Raw genomic sequence first — 27,382 nt, forward strand, 5'->3', positions numbered from 1 at the left:
ATGGAGGGTACACTGCTCTGTCTTCACCAAAGCTGGAACCATCCAACTCTACCCTTCTAACAGCCTTTTTCCCACCCATGGAGTAAGATTTTTTTTTTTAAATCAGTGAAAGCATTCTGTAAAGTTTCAAAATGGTGACTGCTCCATCGAATTTGAAGGTATCAATGCAATACAATAAGAAACATGAAAAACTGGGGAAACTTATCACCATTAAATGACACAATAATTTTCTAATAACTGATCCCAGAGAAATAAAGATCTTCAAATTGCCTGAACAAGATTCAAAATAATTGTTCTAAGGATACTCAGCAAACTTCAAAAGAACACAGAGAAACAACATACATTTTTATAAAAAAAAATCAAATTATTGGGCTGAAGAACACAATGAATAACATTAAAATGCAATAGATAATATCAACAACAGAATTCACAAAGCAAAAGAAAGATCTGTGAACTTGCAAACAGATTACTTGTATATATACAACTAGAGGAGAAATAAGAAAAAAGAATGAAAAGGAATGAAGAAACAAACACTATGGGATTTTGAAACAGCATCAAGAAAGCTAACATTCTCATTATAAGAGGTAAAAAAGGAGAAGAGAGACAAGGACAGAAAGCTTATTTAAAATAATAATAACTGAAAACTTCCAAAATCTTAGGAAAGATATAAGTGTGCAGGTACAGGAAGCTCAAAATCCTTCAGTCAGGTTTAATCCAAAGAAGATTATACCAAGCTCAAAATTCTTCAGTCAGGTTTAATTTGAACAAGACTACACCAAGACATATTATAATAAAACCGTCAATAAATATAATGACATTTTGAAAGAAGCAAGAGAAAAAAAAAGATTAAGTAACATAATCCAACATGTAAGTTGGATTTTCTCAGCAGATACTTTGTCAGTGAGGAGAGTGGAATGATATCGTGCTGAAAGAAAAAAAAAAAGTCAATCAAGAATACTTTATCTGGCAAAGCTCTTCTTCGGAAATAAAGGAAAGATAAAACTTTCTAAGACAAACAAAAGCTCAAGGAGTTCATTGCCACTCAATCTATCTTACAACAAATGTCAATAGGAGTTCTTCCATGTAAACAAAAAGACTAATATGTAGTATGGAAATATATAAAAATATAACGTTCACTGGTAAAAGTAAGTATATAGTCAAATTCAGAATACCAAATACCGAAATGGCGATGTGTCTCTAGTATAAAGGTTAAAAGACAAAACTACTGAAATAATTATTACTATAATAATTTGTTAAGGAACATGCAACATAAAAACTTATAAATTGAGATGGATCATCATGGCGGATGGGAGGCAGGACTAGATTACAGCTCCGGAAGGGACAGGGTGTGGTGGCTCACATTGTGAATTTTAGCTCCAAATCAACTGCAAGAACAAACCAACAATCCTGAGAGGACCCACAGACCCTCTAAAGGAAGTGGACTGCTCCTGCAGGACCTGGGAGATACCCCAAATACCATGAGTGCCCCAACTGTGGAAGTGGGAAAGGGGGACCCTCCCTTCCTCCTCTCCTGAACACACACCCCCACTGGAGAAACTGAAGGTCTGTTTGAGGGAGAAGTTTCCGACCTTACCTGGAGCTGAGTCAATTTAGAGAGCTGGGCAAAATACAGGGGTAGATGAAGCAGGAGAAAGACCGTGGGAGTTCTCTGGGTCCCCAGGCAGACCATTCCTGCCTGGCACCACAGGGATCTATCTGGAGGACGGCCAGAGGAGCATGGGGTAAAACTTCACAGGGAGAAGGAAACAGACTCGGGGCTGTTAAATTGGGGCACGGTGGGAGTGAGACAGGCCCTTCAGTTTGCATGGGAGCTGACTGAGGCCTGTGATTGCCAGCTTTCCCCCACTTCCGTGACAACCTGCATGACTCAGCAGAGGCAGCCATAATCCTCCTAGGTACACAACTCCAGTGACCTGGGAATCTCACCCCCACCCCACACAGCAGCCACAGCAGGACCCGACTAAGGAGAGTCTGAGCTCAGACATGCCTAGTCCTGCCCCCACCTGATGGTCTTCCTTACCCATTCTGGTCACTGAAGACAAAGGGCATATGCTCTTGGGAGTTCTAGGGCCCCACCCACCACTGGTCCCTCTCCATACTACCACAGCTGATGCTCTCTGGAAAGGACCACCTCCTGGCAGGAGGCCAACCAGCACAAAAATAGGGCATTAAGCCACCAAAGCTAAGAACCCTCATGGAGTCCATTACGCCCTCCGCTGCCTCCACCAGAACAGTCGCTGGTATCCATGGCTGAGAGACCCCTAGACAGTTCACATTAGAAGACTCTGTGCAGACACCCACCAGTACCAGCCTGGAGCTGGGTAGACTCGCTGGATGGCTAGACCCAGAAGAGAGACAACAATCACTGCAGTTCGGCTCATAGGAAGCCACATCCATAGGAAAACGGGGAGAGTACTACATCAAGGGAACACCCCATGGGACAAAAGAATCTGAACAAAAGCCTTCAGCCCTAGACCTTCCCTCTGACAGAGGCTACTCAAATGAGAAGGAACCAGAAAACCAATCCTGGTAATATGACAAAACAAGGCTCTTTAACATCCCCCCAAAATCACACTAGTTCACGAGCAATGGATTAAAACCAAGAAGAAACCCTTGATTTACCTGAAAAAGAAATCAGGAGGTTAGCTATTAAGCTAATCAGGGAGGCAATGGAGAAAGGAGAAGCCGAATGCAAGGAAATCCAAAAAATGATACAAGAAGTGAAGGGAGAATTATTCAAGGAAATAGGTAGCTTAAAGAAAAAACATAAAAAATTCTGGGAATTTTGGACACACTGTTAGAAATGCAAAATCCTCTGGAAAGTCTTAGCAATAGAACTGAACAAGTAGAAGAAAGAAATTCAGAGCTCAAAGATATGGTCTTTGAAATAACCTAATCCAACAAAGACAAGGGAAAAAGAATAAGAAAATATGAACAAAGCCTCCAAGAAGTCTGGGATTTTGTTAAATGATCAAGCCTAAGAATAATTGGGGCTCCTGAGTAAGAAGAGAATTCTAAAAGCTTGGAAAACATATTTGGGGGAATAATGGAGGAAAACTTCCCTGGCCTTGCTAGAGACCTAGACATCCAAATACAAGAAGCACAAGGAACACCTGGGAAATTCATTACAAAAAGATCATTGCCTAGGCACATTGTCATCAGGTTTTCCAAAGTTAAGATGAAGGAAAGAATCTTAAGAGCTGTGAGACAGAAGTACCAGGTAACCTAAAAAGGAAGACCTATCAGATTATCAGCAGATTTCTCAGCAGAAACCCTACAAGCTAGAAGGGACTGGGGCCCTATCTTCAGCTTCCTCAGACAAAACAATTATCAGCCAAGAATTTTGTATCCAGTGAAACTAAGCATCATATGTGAAGGAAAGATACAGTCTTTTCAGACACACAAATGCTGAGAGAATTCGCCATTACCAAGCCACCACTACAAGAACTGCTAAAAGGAGCTCTAAATCTTGAAGCAGATCCTGGAAACATATCAAAACAAAAACTCTTTAAAGAATAAATCACACAGGACCTATAAAACAAAAATATAAGTTAAAAAGCAAAAACAAAAAACCCAAAGCACAGAGGCAACAAAGAGGATGATGAATTCAATGGTACCTCACATTTCAATACTAACAGTGAATGTAAATGGCCTAAATGCTCCACTTAAAAGATACAGAACTGCAGAATGTATAAAAACTCATCAATCAACTATTTGCTGCCTTTAGGAGACTCACCTAACACATAAGAACTCATATACACTTAAAGTAAAGGGGTGGAAAAAGGCATTTCATGCAAATGGACACCAAAAGTGAGCAGGGGTAGCTATTCTTATATCAGACAAAACAAACTTTAAAGCAACAGCATTTAAAAGAGACAAAGAGGGACATTATATAATGGTAAAAGGCCTTGTCCAAGAGGAAAATATCACAATCCTAAACATATATGCACCTATCACTGGAGTTCCCAAATTTATAAAACAATTACTAATAGATCTAAGAAATGAGATAGACAACAACATAATAATAGTGGGGGACTTCAAGACTCCACTCACAGCACCAGACAGTCATCGAGACAGAAAGTCAACAAGCAATGGATTTAAACTATACCTTGGAACAAATGGACTTAACAGATATATACAGAACATTTCATCCAACAGCTGCAGAATATACATTCTATTTAACAATGCATGGAACTCACTCCAGGATAGACCCAAAGATAAGCCATAAAACGAGCCTCAATAAATTTAATAAAATTGAAATTATGTCAAGCACTCTCTCAGACCACATTTATCTCAGACACCCACATTTATTGCCCTGGTGCCATCCATGCACACCTATCTATGACATGCATCCACTATTTTAATGCACGTCAAAGCATTTGATAATAGGCTACTGCACATCAAAGCATTCGATAATAGGGTACTGGGGATCTAATTACACCATTTGGACTGTGGAAGAGCAAATTCTATTGCTTACTAAACTTAGTCAATATACTGGATTATAGGGAATATTTAACATATGACTTCACATTTGCAAAGTGCTGCCCTTTTTATTAGTATTTTCATTTCACTTTTGAAAACCAAGACAAGTCTGAGAGAAAGTGATCATCTAATACTAATGGGAGAGAGCGTTTAAGGGAGAAATTAATGAGAGGGGGTTATTGGTAACTTTAGATGCCACACGTAGACTAATAAAATTGAGTTGGTTGGCGACTATACTTTCAGCAGAATTCATCTGACTGCTTTGTGACCAAACATATTCTTTACATTATCTTTCTAAACTAAACTGAATTTTCAAATTCCTTTCTTCGGATAATCTCTCAGTGTTTAACAAGCCCTGCATTGGCATTCCTAACCTGGTATCTCACATTCACTATTGAACTGGTTAAACATTGTGAATACTCTGAACTAGCATTGCCTATCCTCATGGAATCTATACAATCTCCTGTGATGGGCCAATATCAAAGATGGTGGAAAGGGATAAGATGAGGGGAAAGCAAAAAACCAAAAAAGAACAGCAGAAAGAAAAAAATGTGTATCATAGAAGGTGCAGGTAAACAGGAGAAACTTTCTTGATCTTGAAAGAGAATGGAGAGGGATTAGATGGGAATTAAGAGTGACTAAATAGCCATAATATTAATTCTCATAACAATTCATTGACATATATATTATTATCTACTTTTGTCAATAAAGCAGATTTAGAGAGGTTCATTTTGGAGAAGGTAACTGTGGTAGGTAGAATCCTAAAGTGACTCCCAAAATTTTTCTGGTGTAGACAAACCTTGGATAATTCCCTCCCTTTGAGTTGGGGTAGAACCAGTGAATATATGATTGAATATCAATCCTGTGATTAGCTTATATAGTAAAGGTCAAGGAATTTTGAAGATGTAGTTAAGGTCTACAATCAGTCAGTTTTGAGTTAATCAAAAGGGAGGTCGCTCTGAGTGCACCTGAACTAATCATGTGAGCCCTTAAAAGACAGGAAATGTCAGCAAGATTCTCCTGTGGGTTTAGAGGAAGAAAGCTGCTGTGTTCTGAGGTGCCATGTGACTAGGACCTGTAAGGAACTTCTAAGAGCCAAGAGCAATCCCTAGCAGACAGCTAGTAAAGCTACAACTGCAAAAAACTGAACTACTAACAACCAGTGACCTCTGAAGGTAAACCTCAGATGACACTGCAGCCCCAGCCAGTATTTTGATCTCAGCATAGAGAAAATATGCAGAGAAAACCTGTATGCCTTGCTGAACTAACTACTGAGTCCATGACAATAAATGGGTGTTGTTTTAAGCTGCCGAATCTTTTCTAATTTTTTACAGAGAAATAAAAAATCCAATATAATGAAGGAAAAAATAGATAAATACATAGGTTGCTAATTTTGGTCCCTTAAATTTAGACTACCTGAAGATACAACGAAGTTTCTTCTCATTGAAGAAATTTTCTTGATTTTGTTATAGACTTGGTTTTTTATGAGTTCACACTCAGAATCTAGAAGAATGGTATAGTTTTCTTGGTTTATATCTCTATTGCTTTCTTTCACAGAGCCCTCTTCTAGTTGACACTTCTATACCATCTCCCTTCCACCTATATTATCTTTTATGATGGAAATTGATGAAAATGAAGCAAAAGGAGCAATAACAGTGGGCATTGCCTTTCACTTTACTTTTTATTCTTTCCTTACAACCTCACTAGGAAAAATGTTTCAATTAGATATTAATGGAGAGATAAAGGGAATATTATATGAAGAAATGGAGGAAGATGAAAAACCAATAAACATTTTAATCCAAATGTATTTCTAACTTTAACAGGTTCAAGAAATGCTCCATTTGCCTGCTATGAAGAAATACAATCTCAATCAGACAGATTTGGGAACTGTGGTAGGGATAGAAATAACAAATATGTGTTCTGTGGATGGAGGTATGCTCTACAAATATAAATGATACTTTTCTTATATTCTATTAGATTTTTAAAAACTTTGCCCCCTTCTGTGTCATTCATTCCAGTGGTTTAAAGTATTACATGTGCATAGGAGTGAACCTCAAATCAAAATCCCCAGCCCTGACACCTCTTTTGTGCTGCAGGCTAAAATTTCATCTTATTTCTAAACATTTATACGTGAATGGCCATTATGTTTCTAAATCCAATCCAAAGTTGAAATTCATAATACCCACTGTACCTTTCCCGCTCATTTTTCCTTTCCATCCCACTTGGTTACTTGCCTAAGAGGAAGACTGCTCAGTGTCTATAAAATGCAGTTCAATTCCTCCTGAATCTGAAGAGCCAGGTTTTTGATATTTTGATCATGAGTTTATTTTTACAAAACATCTCTTAGGACCCTACTATATGCCAGACACTGGGCTAAATCCTAGTTAGCAAATCATACTCATACACTCATGGAATTTGTAGACTCATAAACATACCATAAAGTTGTATGCTTCCTTGACTTGCTTATGCTGTTACTTTTGTTTAGAAATACTTCACTGTTTCTGTTGAAAGCTTACTAATTTGTGAGCTTTGACTCAGATGGTGTCTCCTCTATGAAGTTTTTCTTAACTGTGAAGTTAGAATGTGTCCTCTAACCTCACAGTTAAGGAAAACTTCACAGAGCTTTTAAGAGAATCTTAAACCTCTGTAATGATTTATTTCACTTGTAACATTTTTAATGGAATTTGAATCATATTAATATCATAAACCATAGTAAGAGTATTAGACTGTAAAGTCCTTAGAGTGTAGGGGTTACAACTTTTTCATCTTTCTTTCCTTCTATGGGGTGATATAAAATGCTGTAGTGAATTGATTATTTGACAGTAAATATATAATCTGCCCAGTAAGTAACAGATCTCTAGTATTGTTACCAGAAAGGGGTCTGAATACGGACCCCAAGAGAGGGTTCTTGGATCTTGTGGAAGAGAGAATTTGAGGCAAATCCATACAGTAAAGTGAAAGCAAATTTATTAAGAAAGTAAAGGAATAAAAGAATGACTGCTCAACAGGCAAAGCAGCAGCATGGACTGCTCAGCTGCTTACACTTATTGTTACTTCTTTATTATATGCCAAGCAAGAGGTGTCTTATTCATGAGTTTTCCAGGAAAGGAGTGGGCAATTCCCAGAACTGAGGGTTCTTCTCCTTTGTAGACCATATCGGGTAACTTCTTGATGTTGCTGTGGCATTTGTAAACTGTCATGGTGCTGGTGGGAGTATCTTTTAGCATGCTAATGCATTATAATTAGAGTATAATGAGCAATGAGGATGACCAGAGGTCACTTTCATCGCCATCTTGGTTTTGGTAAAATTTGACTGGCCTCTTTATCTTAATGCTGTTTTATCAGCTTATGACCTGTATCTTATGCCGATCTCCTGTCTCATCCTGTGACTAAGAATGCCGTAACCTCCTGGGAATGCAGCCCAGTAGGTCTTAGCTTTGTTTTACCTAGCCTCTATTCAAGATAGAGTCATTCTTGTTCAAATGCCTCTGATAGTACCTTTGAAAGTTAAGCTAGGATCAATGGATTTATACTTTTTTTACTTTTTACTTTGTTACCGTGAAAACATTAACGTTTTCTGTAAGTACATTGCCATAAGTGGAAAACCATTCTTTTTGCATCACAGAAAGCAAATCCAAAGCATTCCTAATAAATTCCTAATGTATAATAATCATATATATTTTTTATGTTTTCAGGAATCTTATATGTGGAAGATTAGTTTGTACCTACCCTACTCGAAAGCCTTTCCATCAAGAAAATGGTGATGTGATTTATGCTTTCGTACGAGATTCTGTATGCATAACTGTAGACTACAAATTGCCTCGAACAGTTCCAGATCCACTGGCTGTCAAAAATGGCTCTCAGTGTGATATTGGGAGGGTAAATAATTTAAAATCTATTTAAAAAATATAGTTTTATTTATTGTTTTCATCTTTTTATTTAAGTATCAAATTTTAATTTAGTGCTAGTATTAGGTAATCTTAAATGTTTGGAGGCAAAATGAATGATCTTAAATTAGTCTCCAAATAGTAAGAGGGAAATGGGAACATCGCACCCCACCCCCTCCCACCCCCCATTAGAATTTCAGTGTTCTGAGCAAGGAAACTCCAAATATTTGGAGCTTTCCTTGGGAGAGAGTCTTGGGAATATATTGTAGTTAAGAACCTCATAGCATGGGAACTTGCTTTTCTTCTGGGAGAAGAAAGAAGAAATCTCACTTAGTAACATAAATCTCTTTGTGGCCCCATGAATAACAGCACAACTTAGATCAGGCTGCTTAGATAGAATCAAATATTGTTTAACATTTTGCAAGTTATCTAGCTAGTCTGAGATATCTCAACTGTACATAAAGTAGGGATAATAATAGCATTTACTCTACAGGGTATTGTGAAGATTAAATGAGATAATATTATAAGTGCTTAGCACAATGCCCAGAACATAGTAATAACTAAATACAGTTTGGCTATTATTGCCGATTGTTATCATTATAATTTGTCATCTTTGAAACCAACCCAAATCTGGAGAAGATAGAGCAAATAAATTTAACATCTCATTTAGAGGGAATAACACAGCAAAGGTTCCTGCTTAGGCATTGGAAGTAGAACACAACATCCAAATAGCTCAAGCCAGCCAGAGATAAGAACTTAAAGGCATTTCTCCTTCCTGGGGGACTGGGCTCTCAACTTTCCCCATGCTTTTCTTAAGTGGACCATTCAGGAGTTTGTCTGCAAACCTAAAGCAATCCATACCCTATTCTTCCATATATGTGTATACTGTTACTTCTTTCTCTCCTTCCCCCCGCCCCTCTCTGTCTGACTCTTCATTCCTGTGTCCTGTGACCTGGGGATGGAGGACTGCCCTCCTGGTACAATGTGCTCTCCCTGCCCAGGATCTGTAAATAATAAATCTTTGGATATATGAAATAAATAAATAAATATTTAGAAATTAAAATAAAATCTTATTTAATTCCTGACCAGATCTTTGCTCATAGGGAAATATAAAAAGTGTAAAGTGTAGGCTTTAAAGATAGATGTTCATAGATTTGAATTCTGACTCTGCCACTTACTTGATAGATGATCTTTAAGAAATAATTTAATATTATTAAGCCTTGGTATCCTTAGATATGAAATGTATATTTCAATAGCCACTTTTAGTGGTTTTATAGTATAAATAAAGCTTACTGTAGGTAAAGTATATAGACTCATTAATATTGATTTATTTTTATGCATTCGAGTCATAAGTGCCATCTTGATGGAGGTTTGGGCCAGGGAGCTCAGTGGATATATTTAGGTCATGGAGCAGAAAAGAAAAAGCCTAAAAAATGCAACACAACCAATAAAGTCTTTGAGATGATTTGATAAGTAATTTAATAAGAATATAATCTTTTTAATAACCCAGACAATTCTTCTCAGAAATAATGTGTAAAAACAAATTTTACTGGGTAGTTTTTAATGATAGTATAAATTATATATGATGAAACATTCTTAGTATTGTTTCTGTAAGTTAGTGTCCTTATTCAGTGGGGAATCTATCTCAATTTCAACTGAGCCAGGCAGACAGTAGATACTATATTCCAAAAAGACTTGTTAGACACATCATCATGGTCAAGGACCAGCGAGAAGACTCAACATATTAAAAGTTTAAAAGGGTTAGATTGTTTGTATTTAGAAGAGGTTTATGATGCCATTTATCTGAAGAAGGTTATGCTGTGCTTTAATGTTTAACAGGAAATGATTTTCACATATGTCATCTCATTTTAAACTAAAAACAAGCTCTAATGTTACTTGCTTTTTCTAAAATAACATTTTTTAAAAAAGTATTATTGTACTCGTGTAAAAACTGCAACTTAAGGAAATTGAGATTGCCATAAATAATGGAGTTGGGAATATATCTTCAGCCCTCTGATTATTATACTTTAAAGTTAGAAGAATTATGTCAGAATTTTTTATACGTTCCATAATATAATGATAGACAACTCTGGTACATTTTAACAAAAATTTCTATTATCTTCATTAAATACTTATGAGACTCTAATGATAGTTCATATTTTATGAAAACAATATATGCCATTATTATATGGAGTTAATTTTTTACTATGTAAAACTTTTGTATGTGCAATTAATACAAGATATTCTTTGAACTGTGTACTCAGGGATAGTCTTGTTAGATTTCATGGTGTTATAATGAAAAGTGGTTCTTTGATAATAATTATTTATTTAATAGCCAATCTTATTTTATTGATATCCTCCACTTTTCTGCCCTGAATCATTAAAAAAATTATTTTAAAAAATATACTTTACATTTTAGTGCCATTTTAGGTTCACAGCAAAAATTGAGTGAAAAATACAAAAAAGTATTCATATACTCTTTATCCCCTACTCCCCCACAAAACCTGTACCACTGTGCATAACCTACATCAGCGTGGTACATTTGTAATAATTGATGAGCTTATATTGACACATCATTATCACCCAAAATTCATAGTTTACATTATGGTTACCTGGAAAATCCCCATACTCTTTGAGGCTAAATAACACATGGGTCAAAGAAAAATTCTCAAGAAAAAAATTAAAATATTTTGAACTAAGTGAAAATGAAAATATAACTTATCAAAACTTGTGGAGGACACAGGGAGAAAAATGGCAGATAGGAGGCAGGACTTACTTGCAGCTCCCACTTGGATGGACAGCGTGTGGAGACTCACATTATGAACTTTTGCTGCAAGAACCACTGCAGGAACATAACAGGAAAACTTAAAGAATTCACAGACCCTTCAAAAGAAGCAGCTTGCCACTACAAACTTCGTGAAACACCCATAAAACTGTAAATGCCCAATATGTGAGTGGGGGAAAGTCTGGCTCTGGACACACATCCTTACTGGAGAACCTGAAAATCCAGATCACAGGAGAATAATTTAACCTTACCTAGAGCTGAAATGAATTTAGAGAGCCGAGCAAACCATAAAAGTAGAAGAAGCAGCGGGAAGAGCCTTGTAGGCACTCCCAGTTCTCAGGGAAGCCCTGGGAAGCGATTTCTGATTTAATCTGACAGCAGTGCCTGGGGAGGACAGCCAGTGGAATTGGGGAAGGGCCACAAGGATAAGGAGACTTCCAGCTCAACCTTGTAAAAATTTTGACTTAGTGTGAATTTTCCTGGGCAGATGTGGTGGGGTGAACAAGAAGTGCAAATATGAGCACAGAAGCCATGGCAGGCAGGTAGAAGCAAGGCCTGAGAGCTCTGCTTGCTTTCTCAGTGGGGAGGCTTGTAGCCTGGAGCAAGATCTCAGCCCTGTGCACCAGAGGCCTGGATATACACTGGGCTGTGTTGGCTGCTTGGGGAGCATGGTGGGAGTGACACTGGCCTTACTGGCTGCATAGGAGCTGGGTGAGACCTGTCACTGCCGGCTTTCCCCCACTTCCCTGGTGACCTGTATGAAGCAGCAGAGGCAGCCATGATCCCCCTTGGAAGGTAACTCCATTGACCTGAGAACCACCTCCCCCAATCCACCACAACGGCCATAGCAAGCCCTACCCAAGGAGAGTTTGAGCTCAGACATGCCCAACTCTGCCCTCATCTGATGGTCTTTCTCTACCTGCCCTGGTAGCTGAAGACAAAAATGACAGTAACTCATGGGAGCTCTAGGGCCCACCCATCACCTGAAAAACTTGAATACTTACCTGGGTGACCTTAGGGCAAGCTTGTATTCCCCCTATACTACTACAGCTGATGCTCTCTTGAAAGTGCTGTCTCTTGGCTGGAGGCCAGCCAACTCAAGCCATTACAGCAGTTCATAACAGAACAACCCTGCTCCAAGGAAGGAAAAAACAACAGCTAATTCCACTGCCTACAACATTCTGGCTAACCAGAGGTCCTGAGTCTGTCCACATAACAACTTCATTGCTAGCATAACCAGTCTTGAAGGAAACCAGTGCACTAAACAAGACTATAACCAAGGACTCTCACAGAATCTACTTCACTCCCCTGCTACTTCCACCAGAGCAGGTGCTAGTATCAATGGCTGAGAGACCTAAAGATGGACCACATCACAGGATTCTTTGCAAACATTCCCAAGTACCAACTGAAAGTCCAGTAGCTCCACTGCGTGGCTAGACCCAGAAGAGCAGTAATGATCACTGTGGTCTGGCTCTCAGGAAGCCCTATCCCTAAGGGAAGGGATAGAGCACAACATCAAGGGATTACCCTGTGGGACAAAAGAGTCTGAACAGCAGCACTTGATTCCCAGATCTTTCCTCTAACATAGTCTACCCAAATGAGAAGGAACCAGAAAAACAATTCTGGTAATATGACAAAAACATGGTTCTATAACACTCCCAAAAGATCACACTAGCTTACCAGCAGTGGATCCAAACGAAGGAGAAATTTCTGAACTGTCAGTAAAAGAATTCAGAAATTTGATTATTAAGCTACTCAAGGAGGCACCAGAGAAAGGTGAAAAACTACCTAAAGAAATTTTTTAAAGTACAGAATATGGACAAAAAATCTCCAGAGAAATAGAGATCAGAAATAAAAGAAATCATAACTTATGGAAATAAAAGACTTAGAGAAATGCAAAATACACTGGAAAGTTTCAACAATAGAATTGAACAAGTAGAAGAATTTAAGAGCTTTAACACAAGGCTTTGGAATGAACCCAATCTGACACAGACAAAAAAAATAAAAAATAAAACAATGAACAAAGCCTCCATGAAGTTTGGGATTATGTTAAATAACCAAACTAAGAATAATTTGTATTCCTGAGGAAGAATAGAAATCCTAAAGTTTGGAAAACTTATTTGAGGGAATAATCAAGGAGAACTTCCCTGGCCTTGCTAGAGATCTCGACTTCCAAATACAAGAACCTCGAAGAATACCTGGAAAATTTATCACAAGAAGATCATCATCTAGGCACATGGTCATCAGGTTATTTAAAGTAAAGATGAAGGAAAGAAGCTTAAGAGCTGGGGGCAAAAGCACCAGGTAATGTATAAAGGAAAACCTATCAGATTAACAGCAGATTTCTCAGCAGAAACTCTACGAGCTAGAAGGGATGGGGATCCTATCTTTAGTCTCTTTAAACAAAACAATTATCAGCTAGGAATTTTGTGTGCAGTGAAACTAAGCTTCATAAATGAGGGAAAGATAAAGTCTTTTTCAGACTAACAAAAGCTGAGAAAATTTGCTACTACCAAACCAGCACTACAAAAACTGCTAAAAAGAGTTCTAAATCTTGAAACAAAACCTTGAAATACACCAAAATAGAACCTCTTTAAAGCATAAATTTCACAGGGTCTCTAAAAACAACAACACAATGAAAAAATAATCAAGATATTCAGGAAACAACCAGCATGATAAATAGAATAGTACCTCACATCTCAATACTAACATTGAAAATAAATGGCCTAAATTCTTCACTTAAAAGATTCAGAATGGCAGAATGTATAATAATTCACCAAACAGGTATCTGCTGTCTTTAAAAGACTCACCTAACACATAAGGATTCACATAAACTTAAGGTAAAGGGGTGGAAAAAGATATTACATGCAAATGGACATGTAAAGTGAGCAGGAGTAGCTATTCTTATATTAGACAAAACAGATTTTAAAGCAAAAACACTTAAAAAAGACAAAGAGGGGCATTATATAATGATAAAGGGACTAGTCCAATAGGAAAAAAATCACAATTGTAAATACATATACACCTAACACTAGAGCTCCCAAATTTATAAAACAATTCTTGATAGACGTAAGAAATGAGATAGATGGCAACACAATAATAGTGGGGATTTCAATACTTCGTGACAGCACCGGACAGGTCATCAAGACAGAAGGTCAACAAAGAAACACAGTACTTAAATTATACCCTAGAACAAATAGACTTAACAGGTATTTACAGAACATTCTGCCCCAAAATGCAGAATATGTATTTCTATTCATCAGCACATGGAACATATTCCAAGACTGATCATATGATAGACCACAAAATAAGCCTCAATAAACTTAAGAAAATTGAAATCATGTCAAGTACTCTCTCAGACCACAGCGGAATAAAATTGGAAATAACTCCAAAAGAAACCCTCAAAACCATCCAAATACATGGAAATTAAGTAGTCTGCTCCTGAATGATCTTTTAGTAAACAGTGAAATCAATAGAAACTAAAAACTTCTTTGAACTGAATGATAATAGTGACACAACCCATCCAATCCTCTGAGATACAGCAAAAGCCGTGCTAAAAGGAAAGTTTATAGCATTAAATGCCTACATCGAAAAGTCTGAAAGAGAAAAAATAGACAACCTAAGGTCATTGTCATTGTATTAGTCTGCTTTCATGTTGCTCATAGACATACCTGAGACTGGGCAATTTACAAAAGAAAGAGGTTTAATGAACTTAAAATTCCATGTGGTTGGGGAGGCCTCACAATCATGGCAGAAGGTGAAAGGCATGTCTCACATGGAGGCAGACAGGAGAAGAGAGCTTGTGCAGGGAAACTCCCCTTTTTAAAACCATCAGATCTTGTGAGACTTATTCACTGTCATGAGAACAGCACAGGAAAGATCTGCCCTCATGGTTCAATTACCTTCCAACACATGGGAATTCAAGATGAGATTTGGGTGGGGACAGAGCCTAACCATATCATTCAGCCCAAATCTCATGTCCTCACATTTCAAAACCAATCATGCCTTCCTAACAGTCCCCCAAAGTCTTAACTCATTTCAACATAAACTCAAAAGTCTATAATCCAAAATCTTATCCAAGACAAGGCAAGTCCCTTCCACCTATAAAATCAGAAGCAAGTTAGTTACTTCCTAGATACAATAGGGGTATAGGTATTGATAAATACAGCCATTCCAAATGGGAGAAATTGGCCAAAACAAAGGGGCTACAGGTCCCATGCAAGTCCAAAATCCAGCAGGGCAGTGAAATCTTAAAGCTCCAAAATGATCTCCTTTGACTCCATGTCTCACATCCAGGTCATGCTGATGCAAGAGGTGGGCTCCCACAGCCTTGAGCAGCTCTGCACCTGTGACTTTGCAGGGTATAGCCTCCTGGCTGCTTTCACAGGCTGGCACTGAATGTCTGCAGCTTTTCCAGGCAAACAGTGCAAGCTGTAGGTGGATCTACCATTCTGGGGTCTGGAGGATGGTGGCCCTCTTCTCATGACTACACTAGGCAGTGCCCCAGTAGGGACTCTGTGTGGGGGCTCCAACCTCACATTTCCCTTCCACACTGCTCTAGCAGAGGTTCTCCATGAGGGCTCCACTCCTGCAGCAAACTTCTGCCTGGACACTCATACATCCTTTGAAATCTAGGCAGAGGTTCCCAAATCTTGACTCTTGGCTTCTGTGCATCCACAGCCTCAACAACACATGGAAGCTGCCAAGGCTTGGGCTTCCACCCTCTGAAGCCACAGCCTGAGCTGTACCTTGGTCCCTTTCAGTCACAGCTTGAGTGGCTGGATGCAGGGCACCAAGTCCCTAAACTGCACACAGCAGAGGGACCGTGGGCCTGGCCCACAAAGTCATTTTTTCCCTCCTAAACCTCCAGGCCTCTGACTGGAGAGGCTGCCACCAAGGCCTCTGACATGCCCTGGAGACAATTTCCCCATTGTCTTGGTGATTAACATTTGGGTCCCCATTACTCATGTAAGTTTCTGTAGCTGGCTTGAATTTCTTTTCAGCAAGTGGGATTTTCTTTTCTATTGTGCTATCAGGCTGCAAGTTTTCCAAACTTTTGTGATCTGTTTCCCTTTTAAAACTGAATGCCTTTAATAGCACCCAAGTCACCTCTTGAATGCTTTGCTGCTTAGAAATTTCTTCCACCAGATACTCTAAATCATCTCTCTCAAGTTCAAAATTCCACAAATCTCTAGGGCATGGACAAAATGCTGCCAGTCTCTGCTAAAACATAGTAAGAGCCACATTTGCTCCAGTTCCCAACAAGTTCCTGATCTCCATCTGAGACCACCTCAGCCTGGATTGTGTTGTTCATATCGTTATCAGCATTTTGGTCCAAACCATTTGACAAGCCTCTAGGATGTTCCAAACTTTCCCACATGTTTCTATTTTCTTCTGAGCCCTCCAAACTGTTCCAACCTCTGCCTGTTACCCAGTTCCAAAGTCACTTTCACATTTTTGGGTTTCTTTTCAGCAGCACCCCACTCTACTGGTACCAATTTACTGTATTAGTTTTTTTCATGCTGCTGATAAAGACATACCTGAGACTGGGCAATTTGCAAAAGAAAGAAGTTTAATGGACTTACAGTTCCACATGGCTGGGAAAGCCTCACAATCATGGTGGAAGGTGAAAGATACATATTAGCAGACAAGAGAAGAGAGCTTGTGCAGTGAATCTCCCTTTTAGAAAACCATCAGATCTCATGAGATTTATTCCCTATCACAGGAAGAGCACAGGAAAGACCTGCCTCCATGATTCAATTACCTCCCACTGGTTACCTCTCACAATATGTGGGAATTCAGAATGAAATTTGGCTGGGAACACAGCCAAACCATAACAGTCATACCTCAAGGAACTAGAGAAACAGGAACAAACTAAACCCAAATCCAGCAGAAGAAAATAAGTAACAAAGATCAGAGCAGAAGTAAATAAAATGGATACAATCAAAGGAAAAATAGATGAAACAAAAGCTGGTTCTTTGAAAAGATAAACAAAACGGATAGACCATTAGTGATATTAACCAAGAAAAGAAGAGAAAGTTCTAAATAAGCTCAATTAGAAATGAAATGGGAGATATTACAACCTATAGCATAGAAACACAAAAGATCATTGAAGGCTACTATGAACACCTTTATGAACACAAAATAGATAACCTAGGGGAGATAAATAAATTCCTGGAAATATACAACCCTCCTAAATAAAATCAGGAAGAAATAGAAACTCTGAACAGACTAATAACAAGCAGTGAGATTGAAATGGTAATAAAAACCATTACCAATGAAAAAAAGTCCAGAATTGGATGGATTCATACCTGAATTCTGTCAGAGATTAATAAAAGAACTGGTACCAATCCTACTGAAAATATTTCAAAAGATAGAGAAAGAGGGAATTTTTCCTAAATTGTTCTATGAAACCAATATCACCCTAATATCAAAACCAGGAAACGAAAGAACAAAAAAGGAAAACTACAGACCAATATCTCTGGTAAACAAAAATGCAAATTTTCTCAACTAAATACTAGCTAACTGAATGCAACAGCATATCAAAAAGATATTCCACCATGATCAAGTTGGTATCATACCAGAGATGCAAGTTTAGCATATACAACTAAATAAATGTAATACAACACATAAGCAGAATTTAAAACAAAAATCAGATGATCATTTCAATAGACACAGAAAAAGCATTTGACAAAATCCAACATCGCTTTATGATTAAAACCCTCAGAAAAATTGGCATAGAAGGGACATACCTTAAGGTAATAAAGGCTGTATATGCCAAAGCCGCAGACAACATTGTACTGAATAGGGAAAAGTTGAAAGCATTTTCCCTGAGAACAGGAAGAAGATAAGGATGCCCATTTTCATCACTTCTATTCAACATAGTACTGGAGGTCCTAGCCAGAGCAATCAAACAAGAGAAAGAAAGAAAGAAAGAGTATTCAAATTGATGATGAGGAAGTCAAACTGTCACTGCTTGCCAATGATATGATCATATACCTTGGAAACCCTAAAGACTCATCAAAAAAGCTCCGAGATTAGATAAATGAATTCAGTAAAGTTTCAGGATACAAAAGTAATGTACACAAATCAGTAGCATTGCTATACACCAACAGTGGCCAAGCTGAGAATCAAATCAAGAATTCAACCCCTTTTATGGTAGGTGCAACAAAACCCCCCAATATACTTAGGAATATACCTAACAAAGGAAAACTGTGAAACATTGCTGAAAGAAATTATAGATGACACAAACAAATGAAAACACATACCATGCTCATGGATGGGTAGAATCAATATTGTGGAAATGACAATACTGTCAAAAGCAATATATAAATTCAATATAATTCCCATCAAAATACCATCATCATTCTTCACAGAACTGGAAAAAACGATCCTAAAATTCATATGGAACCAAAAAAGAGCTGCATGGGCAAAGAAAGGCTAAGCAAAAAAACAAAAACAAAACAAAATAAGAAAACCCAAAAAACAAATCTGGAAGCATCACATTACCTGACTTCAAACTATGCTACCAGGCTATAATCACCAGAACAGCATGGTACCACTATAAAAATAGACACATAGACCAATGGAACAGAATAGAGCTCCCAGAAATAAAGCCAAGTATTTACAGTCAACTGATCTTTGACAAAGCAAACAAAAACATAAAGTGGGGAAAGGACACCCTATTCGACAAATGGTGGTGGGATAACTGGCAAGCCACATGTAGAAAAATGAAACTGGATCCTCATCTCTCACCTTATACAAATATCAACTCAAGATGTGTCAAAGACCAGGAAGGGGAACATCACACACCGGGGCCTGTTGTGGGGTGTGGGGAGTGGGGAGGGATAGCATTAGGATATATACCTAGTGTTAAATGACGAGTTAATGGGTGTAGCACACCAACATGGCACATGTATACATATGTAACAAACCTGCACGTTGTGCACATGTATCCTAAAACTTAAAGTATAATAAAAAAAAGATGTGTCGAAGACTTAAATATAACACCTGAAGCCATAAAAATCCTAGAAGATAACATCAGAAAAACTCTTCTAGATATTGTCTTAGGTAAAGAGTTCATGAACAAGAACCCAAAAGCAAATGCAATAAAAACAAAGATAAATAGATGGGACTTAATTAAACTAAAAAGCTTCTGCATAGCAAAAATATAATCAGCAGAGTAAACAGACAACCCACAGTGGCTAAGAAAATGTGGTATATAAATACCATGGAATCCTACTCAGCCTTAAAAAGGAACAAAATAATGACATTTTACAGCAACCTGGATGGAGTTGGAGCCATTATTCTAAGTGAAGTAACTCAGGAATGGAAAACGTAACATCATATGTTCTCACTCACAAGTGGGAGCTAATCTCTGAAGATGCAAAGGCATGAGAATGATACAATAGACTTTGGGGACTTGGGGGGAAGGGTGGGAGGCAGTAAGGAATGAAAGGCTACATATTGGGTACAGTGTGCACTGCTAGGATGATGGCTGCACCAACATCTCAGAAATCACTACTAAAAATCTTATTCGTGTAACCAAACACCACCTGTTCCCCAAAATCTATTGAAATAAAAATTAAAAAAAGAAGAAGTAGTTAAGGTTAAATGAAACTGCAGCCTTGTTCCAATCTGACTTGCATCCTTATAAAAAATAGATTTGGATACACAACGAGACACCAGGGGCTTGTGCATGTAGAGGAAAGGCCATGTGAGGACATAGGGAGAAGGCAAGTCTAGAAGAGAGGCCTCAGGAGAAACCAACCCTGCAGACACCTTGATCTTGGACTTCCAGCCTCTAGAACTGTTAGAAAATAAGTCACTGTTGTTGAGGCCACTTAAGCTATAGTACTTTGTGGTGTCAGCCTAAGTAGACAATATAATATCCTTATTTAGATGTTTGCTAAAACTCTCTTATTATTTAAACACTGGGCTTTTTGTTATTGTTTTAATTATTCTGCTTTAGAACTACATGAAGAAACATAGTAATAATAATATCAATTTAAAATGCAAATAAATCACAAATGTCTTTTCTTGCAAAAAAAATAAAACACCCTTCTGGAATGCAGCAAAAGCAGTACTTAGAGGAAAATTTGTATCATTGAATGGCTATGCTTTTATATCATATAATTATTTACTGTAATGTTATGATGACTGTACCCCTCTGACATGGGAACTTTTTTTGTATGTGTTTTTCTTTAGGTTTGTGTAAATCGTGAATGTGTAGAATCAAGGATAATTAAGGCTTCAGCACATGTTTGTTCACAACAGTGTTCTGGACATGGAGTAAGTAACCACATGTTTCCCTGAATCACATTTCTTGGACACTTTTTTGCATCACTCATTAATTTACTGACATTTTTTGGGTCACTACCATGTGACAGACTCTGTTGCATCTAGCTTCAATTGAGAGCTGAATTAAGTCATTAAATTCAGCAGCCATAATTAGTTACAGAAGATATATTGAGCAGAATTAAATTGCTAATGACCTAAATATATATTGTTATAATTGGGTACTTTTCAGAGGGTGTTAAATTTTCTGATAAATACATTAACCTGGTTCTCAAAGGAAAGATAATTATGCTGTAATTCCTGTGTCTGTGAATACACAGGGATCATGAAAAACTATTGTTTTATTTATCTACTTTTAAAAATAGACTTTATTTTTTAGAGGAGCTTCAGGTTCACAGAAACTTTGGAAAGTAGAAAGTACAGAGATTTTCCATATATCCACTCATCTTACAGAGGCACAATCTTTCCCAATTTTAACATCACACACCAGAGTGGTCTGTTTGTTATAATTGATGACCTACAAGGACATATCATTGTCACCCAAAGTCCAGTTTACATTAGGATTCACTGTTAGTGTCTCACATTCTATGGGTTTTGACAAATGTGTAATGATATAGATCCATCATTATGATATACAGAGAGTATTTTCATTACTCTAAAAATTCTCTGTGCTCCATCAGTTCATCCTTCTGTCTCCACTAACCCTTGGCAACCACTTATCTTATTACTGTTTTCCTAGGTTTTTCTTTTCCAGAATGTCATTTCATTGAAATCATATAGTATGTAGCCTTTTCAGATTGGTTTCTTTCACTTAGTAATATGCATTTAATGTTTCTCCGTGTTTTTCTATGGCTTGATAGCTTATTTCTTTTTAGTGCTAAATAATATTCCATTGTCTGAATGTACCATAGTTATTTATCCACTCATCTACTGAAGAACATCTTGGTTGCTTCCAAGTTTGGTAATTACAAATAAAGTTTCTATAAACATCCTTCTGCAGGTTTTTGTGTGGACATAAATTTTCACCTATTTTGAGTAAATACCAAGCATTGTGGTTGCTGTATCATATCGTAAGAGTATGCTTAGTTTTGTTAGAAACTGACAAAACATCTTTGAAAGTGGCTGTACCAGTTTGCATTCCCACCAGCAGTGAATGAGAGTCCCTGTTGCTCCACATCCAAGCCAACATTTTTTGTTGTCAGTGTTTTGGATTTTGGCCATTCTAATAGGTGTGTAGTGGTATTTCATTGCTGTTTTAATTTGCATTTTACTGATGACATATGTGAGGCATATTTCATATACTTATTTTCCATCTATTTTTTTTTGGTGAGGGGCCTTTTAAAGTCTTTTGCCCATTTTTAAATCAAGTTGTTTTCTTGTTGAGTTTTAAGTTTTCTCTTCATATTTTGAATAACAGTCATGTATCTGATGTGTCTTTTGCAAATATTTTCTTCCATTCTGTGGCTTATCTTTTTATTCTCTTGACAGTGCTTTTCACAGAGAATGTTTTAATTTTATGAGGCCCAGCTTCTTAATTATTTCTTTCATAGATTGTGCCTTCAGTATTGTATCTAAAAAGTCTATGCAATACCCAAGGTCATCCAGGTTTTTTTTTTTTTTCTGAGTTATCTTCTAGGAGTTTTTTAGCTTTGCATTTTACATTTAGGCCTATGACCCATTCTGGATTAACTTTTTGAAGGGTGATAAGTTTGTGTCTAGATTCTTTTTTTTTTCCTGCATTTTGATGTCTAGCTAGTACCAATTGTTGAAGTCTTTCTTTTCTCTACTGTATTGCTTTTGCTCCTTTGTCAGAGATCAGTTGACTAGATTTATGTTTGTCAGTTGCTGGGCTCCTTATTCTATTTCATTGATCCATTTGATTATTCTTTCTCCTATATCATATTGCCTCGATTACTACAGACTTACAGTATGTTGAAGTTGGGTAGTGTTAGTCTTCTGACTTTGTTCTTTTTCTTTCAATGGTAACTTGACTATTCTTGATCTTTTGTGCCTCCATAGAAACTTTAGAATCAGTTTGTTAATTTCCACAGAACACCTTGCTGGGATTTTGACAGGGATTGTGTTCCATCTATAGATCAAGTTAGTAAGAACTGATATCTTGACGATATTGAGTCTTTCTATCCATTCACATGTAATGTGTTTTCATTTATTTAGTCCTTTTTTATTTCCTTCATCAGTGTTTTGTAGTTTTCTTCATATTGATCTTATATATATTTTGTTAGATTTATACCAAGTACTTCATTTTTTGGGGGGGCTAATGCAAATAGTATTATGTCTTTAATTTCAAGTTTCATTTGTTCGTTGCTGGTGTATAGGAAAATTATTGGCTTTTGTGCATTAACCTTGTATATTGCAACCATGCTACAATCACTTGTTAGTTCCAAGGGTTCTTCAATTCTTTTTAGATTTTCCAAATTGGTGTTTATGTCATATATGAACAAAGACAGTTTTATTTCTTTCTTCCCAATCAGTATACTTTTTTTATTATTTTATTGTATTAGTTAGAACTTCCTGTATGATACTGAAATAGGAGTGGTGAGAGGAGACGTCCTTGCATTGCTCCTTATCTTACTGGGAAAGTATCTAATATCTCACCATTAAGTACGATGTCAGCTGTAGGTTTTTTTGTTTGATAGTTTGTTAGATGAAAAAATTTCCCTCTATTCCTAGTTTACTGTTAGTTTGCTTTTAAAACACAAATGAGTGTTGACTTTTTTTTTTTTTTTTGAGATGGACTCTCACTGTGTTGCCCAGGCTGGAGTGCAGTGGCATAATCTCGGCTCACTGCAAGCTCTGCCTCCCAGGTTCACGCCATTCTCCTGCTTCAGCCTCCCGAGTAGGTGGGACTACAGGGGTCCTGCCACCATGCCCGGATAATTTTTTTGTATTTTTAGTAGAGACGGGGTTTCATCGTGTTAGCCAGGATGGTCTCGATCTCCTGACCTCATGATCTGCCCGTCTTGGCCTCCCAAAGTGCTGGGATTTCAGGCATGAGCCACTGTGCCAGGCCTGAGTGTTGGCTTTTTAATGTTAAATGCTTTTTCTGTATTTATTGATATGATAATGTGATTTTTCTTCTTTAGCTTATTGATGTGAGATGAAGTACATCAGCTAATTTTCTAATGTTGAACCAGTTACATGCCTGCGATAAATCTTGTTTGTGGTGTATAATTCTTTTTATGCATTGTTGAATCTGATTTACTAATGTATAGTGAGAGTTTTTTGCATCTTTGCATCGACAGACATTTTTCTGTAGTTTCCATTTCTTGTAATATTTTTCTATGGTTTTGATGTTAGGGTAAGGATGGCCTGATAGAATGAGTGAGGAAGTATCCCCTCTGCTTCTGTCTTCTGAAAGAGATTGTAAGAGATTATAGAAAATTGGTATAATTTCTCCCTTAAGTGTTAGGTAGAATTTAATAGTGAACCCATCTCAGCAAACAATTATCTGTAACATCAATTAAGAATAAGAAAAATAAAAATTTTTAGTTTACTTTCACTTAATTCCTTCTCTAATACTATTCTTTTTATGTAAATAACATTTGCTGACCTTTGTGATTATCATTCTCTCTGAAGAATCTCTTCTGACATTTATTTCAAAGGCATGTCTACTGGTGATATATACTCTCAATTTTTGCTTGTTTGAGAGTCTTTATTTCATTTCCATTTTTGCAAGATAATTTCAAAGGATTAAATATTTCACTCCTCACTCTTTTTGCTTGCATGGTTGCTGAAGAGAAGTCCAGTATAATTTTTATCTTTGTGCCTCTATAGATATGGTATTTTCTCCCTCTGGCTTCTTTCCAAATTTGTCTTTATCTTTGATTTTCTGTAGTTTGAAAGTTATTATGTCTAGGTATAAATTTTTGGCATTTGTCCTGATTTTTTTGTGGTAGGGGTTGCTTGATCTGTGATTTGTTGTGAGACATTAATTTTGGAAAATTATCAGCTATTATTGCTTCAAATATTTCTTCTATTCCATTCTTTTTTGTTCTCTTGGTATCCTCATTACATGTATGTTATACATTTTTTTAGTTGTCCCACAGTTCTTGGATATTCTGTTCTGTTTTTTCAACCTTTTTTTTTTGACTTTTTAGTTTTAGAAGTTTCTATTGAGACACCCTCAAGCTCAGAGATCTTTTCTCATCTCAGCCATAATTATTCTATTTACGGGCCCATCAAAAGCATTCTTCATTTCTGTTGCAGTGTTTTTGATCTCTAGTACTTCTTTTTGATTCTTTCTTAGAATTTTTATCTGTCTGCCTACACTGCCCATCTGTTCTTACATGTAGTCTACTTTATCCATTAGAGCTTTCAGCATATGAAGTATAATTGTTTTATTTATTTATTTTAGTTTTATTTTTTATTGGCAATAGTTGTACCTGTTGTGGGGGTATAAATGATAATACATTCATATAATTCATAAAAATCAAATCAGTATAATTAAGATATCCATCACTTTACATATTTGTCTTTATGCTAAAACATTTGAATTTATTTTTCTAGCTATTTTTGAAATATACAATAGGTTATTTTAAACTCTGGTCATCCTACTGATCTGTCAAACACTTGGTCTTACTTCTTCTTTCAAACTGGATATTTGTACCTATTAATCAACCTCTCTTCATCCTTTCCTCCCATTACACATTCTGGCCTCTGGTAACCACCCACCTACTCTGCATCTTCATGAATCCACTTTTTTAGCTTCCACATAAGAGTGAGAACATGTGATATTTATCTTTCTGTGCTTATCCTATTTCATTTAACATAATAACTTCCAGTTCCATCCATGTTGCTATGAGTGATGGGATTTCATTATTTTTATAGCCTATGTTTTACATTGTGTATGTATCTCACATTTTCTTTATTTATTCATCTATTCATGGACGCTTACATTGATTCTATATTTTGGCTATTGTGAATAGTGCTACAATAAACATGGGAATGCAGATAGCATTTTGAAGTATTGATTTCCATTCTTTTGGTTATTTACTCAGTAGTAGAATTGCTGGGTCATATAGTAGTTCTATTTTTAGTTTTTTTGAGGAATCTCCACACAATTTTTTATAGTGGCTGTACTAATTTACATTCCCACCTATAGTGTGTGAGTCTTTCCTTTTCTCCACAGCCTCGCCAGCATTGGCTGTTCCATCTTTTTTTATCAAAAAGATGGTCTTTTTGTTACAAAAAAAAAATGGCTTTTATAAGCCATTTTAACTGGATTGAGATTATATCTCATAATTCTGATTTGCATCTCTCTCATAATTAGTGATGTTGAACATTTTTTCATATACCTGTTGGCCATTTGTTTGTTTTATTTTGAGAAATGTCTATTCAGATCTTTTGCCCATTTTTTTAATCATATACTTTGTGGAGTTTTTTCCTATTGAGTTATTTGAGCTCCTTATATATTATGATTGTCAGTCCCTTGTCAGATGGATAGTTTGGAAATATTTTCTTTTATTCTGTGGGTTGTCTCTTCACTTTGTTGATTGCTTCTTTTGCTGTGTAGAAGCTTTTTAGCTTGGTGTAATCCCATTTGTTTATTTTTGCTTATGTTTCCTGTGCTTTTGAGGTTATATCCAAAAAATAATTACATAATCAGTGTCTTAGAACTATTTTCCTACATTTTCTCCTGGTAATTTTATAGTTTTGGTTCTTAGATTTAAGTCTTGAATACATTTTGATTTTATTTTTGTACACAGTGAAAGATAATGATCAAGTTTTATTCTTCTGCATATGGTTATCGAATTTTTCCAGCACCATCTATTGAAGAGACTGTTCTTTCTCTGTTGTACATTCTTGGTGCCTTTGTTGAAAATGAATTGGTGTAAATGCATGTATTTGTAGCCGGATTCTTTATTCTGTTCCATTGGTCTATGTGTTTGATTTTATGCCAGTACCATGGTGATTTGGTTACTATAGCTCTGTAGTATAACTTGAAGTCAGATAATGTTATGCATTTGGCTTTGTTCTTTTTGCTCAGAATTGCTGACCACATATTAAGTCACGAGACAAGTCTTAACAAATTTAAGAAGACTGACATCACTCCAAGTGTATTTTCTGACCACACTAGATTGAAGCTAGAAGTTAATATTAAAAGAAAGTGGGAAAACTTAAAAAATACATGAAAATTAAATAACACATGAGTGAACAACCATTGGGCTAAACAACAAATCAAAACGGAAATTAGAAAATATCTCAAGACAAACAAAAAATGAAAAAAAAAAGGGATGTGGCAAAAACAGTACTAAAGGGAAATTTATAGTGATAAATTCTTACATTAAAAAGAATAAAGATTTCAAATAAACATTCTAACTTTACACCTCAAGAAACTAGAAAAAAATTGAACAAACTCCAAGTTTGCAGTAGGAAGTTATGAAGATTAGAGCACAAATAAGATAGAGAATAGAAAAATAATAGACAAAATCAAGGAAATTAAGAGTTGAGTTTTTGAAAAGATTAAAAAAAGGACAAACTCTTAGGTAAAATAGCAAGAAAAAAAGAAATAAGACTCAAAATCAGAAATGAAGGAGCAGATATTACAACTGATGTCACAGAAATTTTTTAAGAAGATACTGTGGTGTATATTTATACACCAACAAGTTGGATAACCTAGAAGAAATTTATAAATTCCTAGGATGATACAACCTGCCAAGACTGAATCAAGAATAAATAGCCTGAACAGAACAATAACAAATAAAGAGATTAAATCAGTAAACAAAACTTTCTAGCGAAGAAAATCTCAGGACTAGGGGGCTTCACAAATGAATTCTGTTAAACATTTACAGAAGAATTAAACAAGAAAATAAAATTGCAGGCTAATATATCTACAAACATGCATGCAAAAATTTACAGCAAGACATTAACAAACTATATTTGCCGCACG

At 36.5% G+C, this 27,382-nt stretch overlaps 1 protein-coding gene across 13 annotated transcripts in view, besides 1 other annotated feature; it reads left to right on the forward strand.

Moving 5' to 3' along the window:
- The window catches only part of ADAM32 (ADAM metallopeptidase domain 32), a 177,389-nt gene that overhangs the window by 118,172 nt on the left and 31,835 nt on the right, over positions 1-27,382 (forward strand). For all 13 annotated transcript variants that reach the window (NM_001313994.1, NM_145004.7, XM_011544433.3 and 10 more), the window contains 3 exon segments: positions 6,327-6,435; positions 8,199-8,382; positions 20,383-20,466. In NM_001313994.1, coding sequence (NP_001300923.1) covers positions 6,327-6,435; positions 8,199-8,382; positions 20,383-20,466 — 377 coding nt within the window.
- Positions 1,213-2,412: an enhancer, noted in NCBI's record as "MED14-independent group 3 enhancer chr8:39084432-39085631 (GRCh37/hg19 assembly coordinates)". NCBI's record gives its function as "activates an origin of replication core promoter dependent on BRD2, BRD4, P300/CBP and CDK7 cofactors, and independent of MED14, by STARR-seq in HCT116 cells {active_cell/tissue: HCT116}" and the evidence as "EXISTENCE:reporter gene assay evidence [ECO:0000049][PMID:35650434]".

The sequence above is a fragment of the Homo sapiens genome, chromosome 8 (genome assembly GCF_000001405.40).
Source record: "Homo sapiens chromosome 8, GRCh38.p14 Primary Assembly".
NCBI lineage: Eukaryota > Metazoa > Chordata > Mammalia > Primates > Hominidae > Homo > Homo sapiens.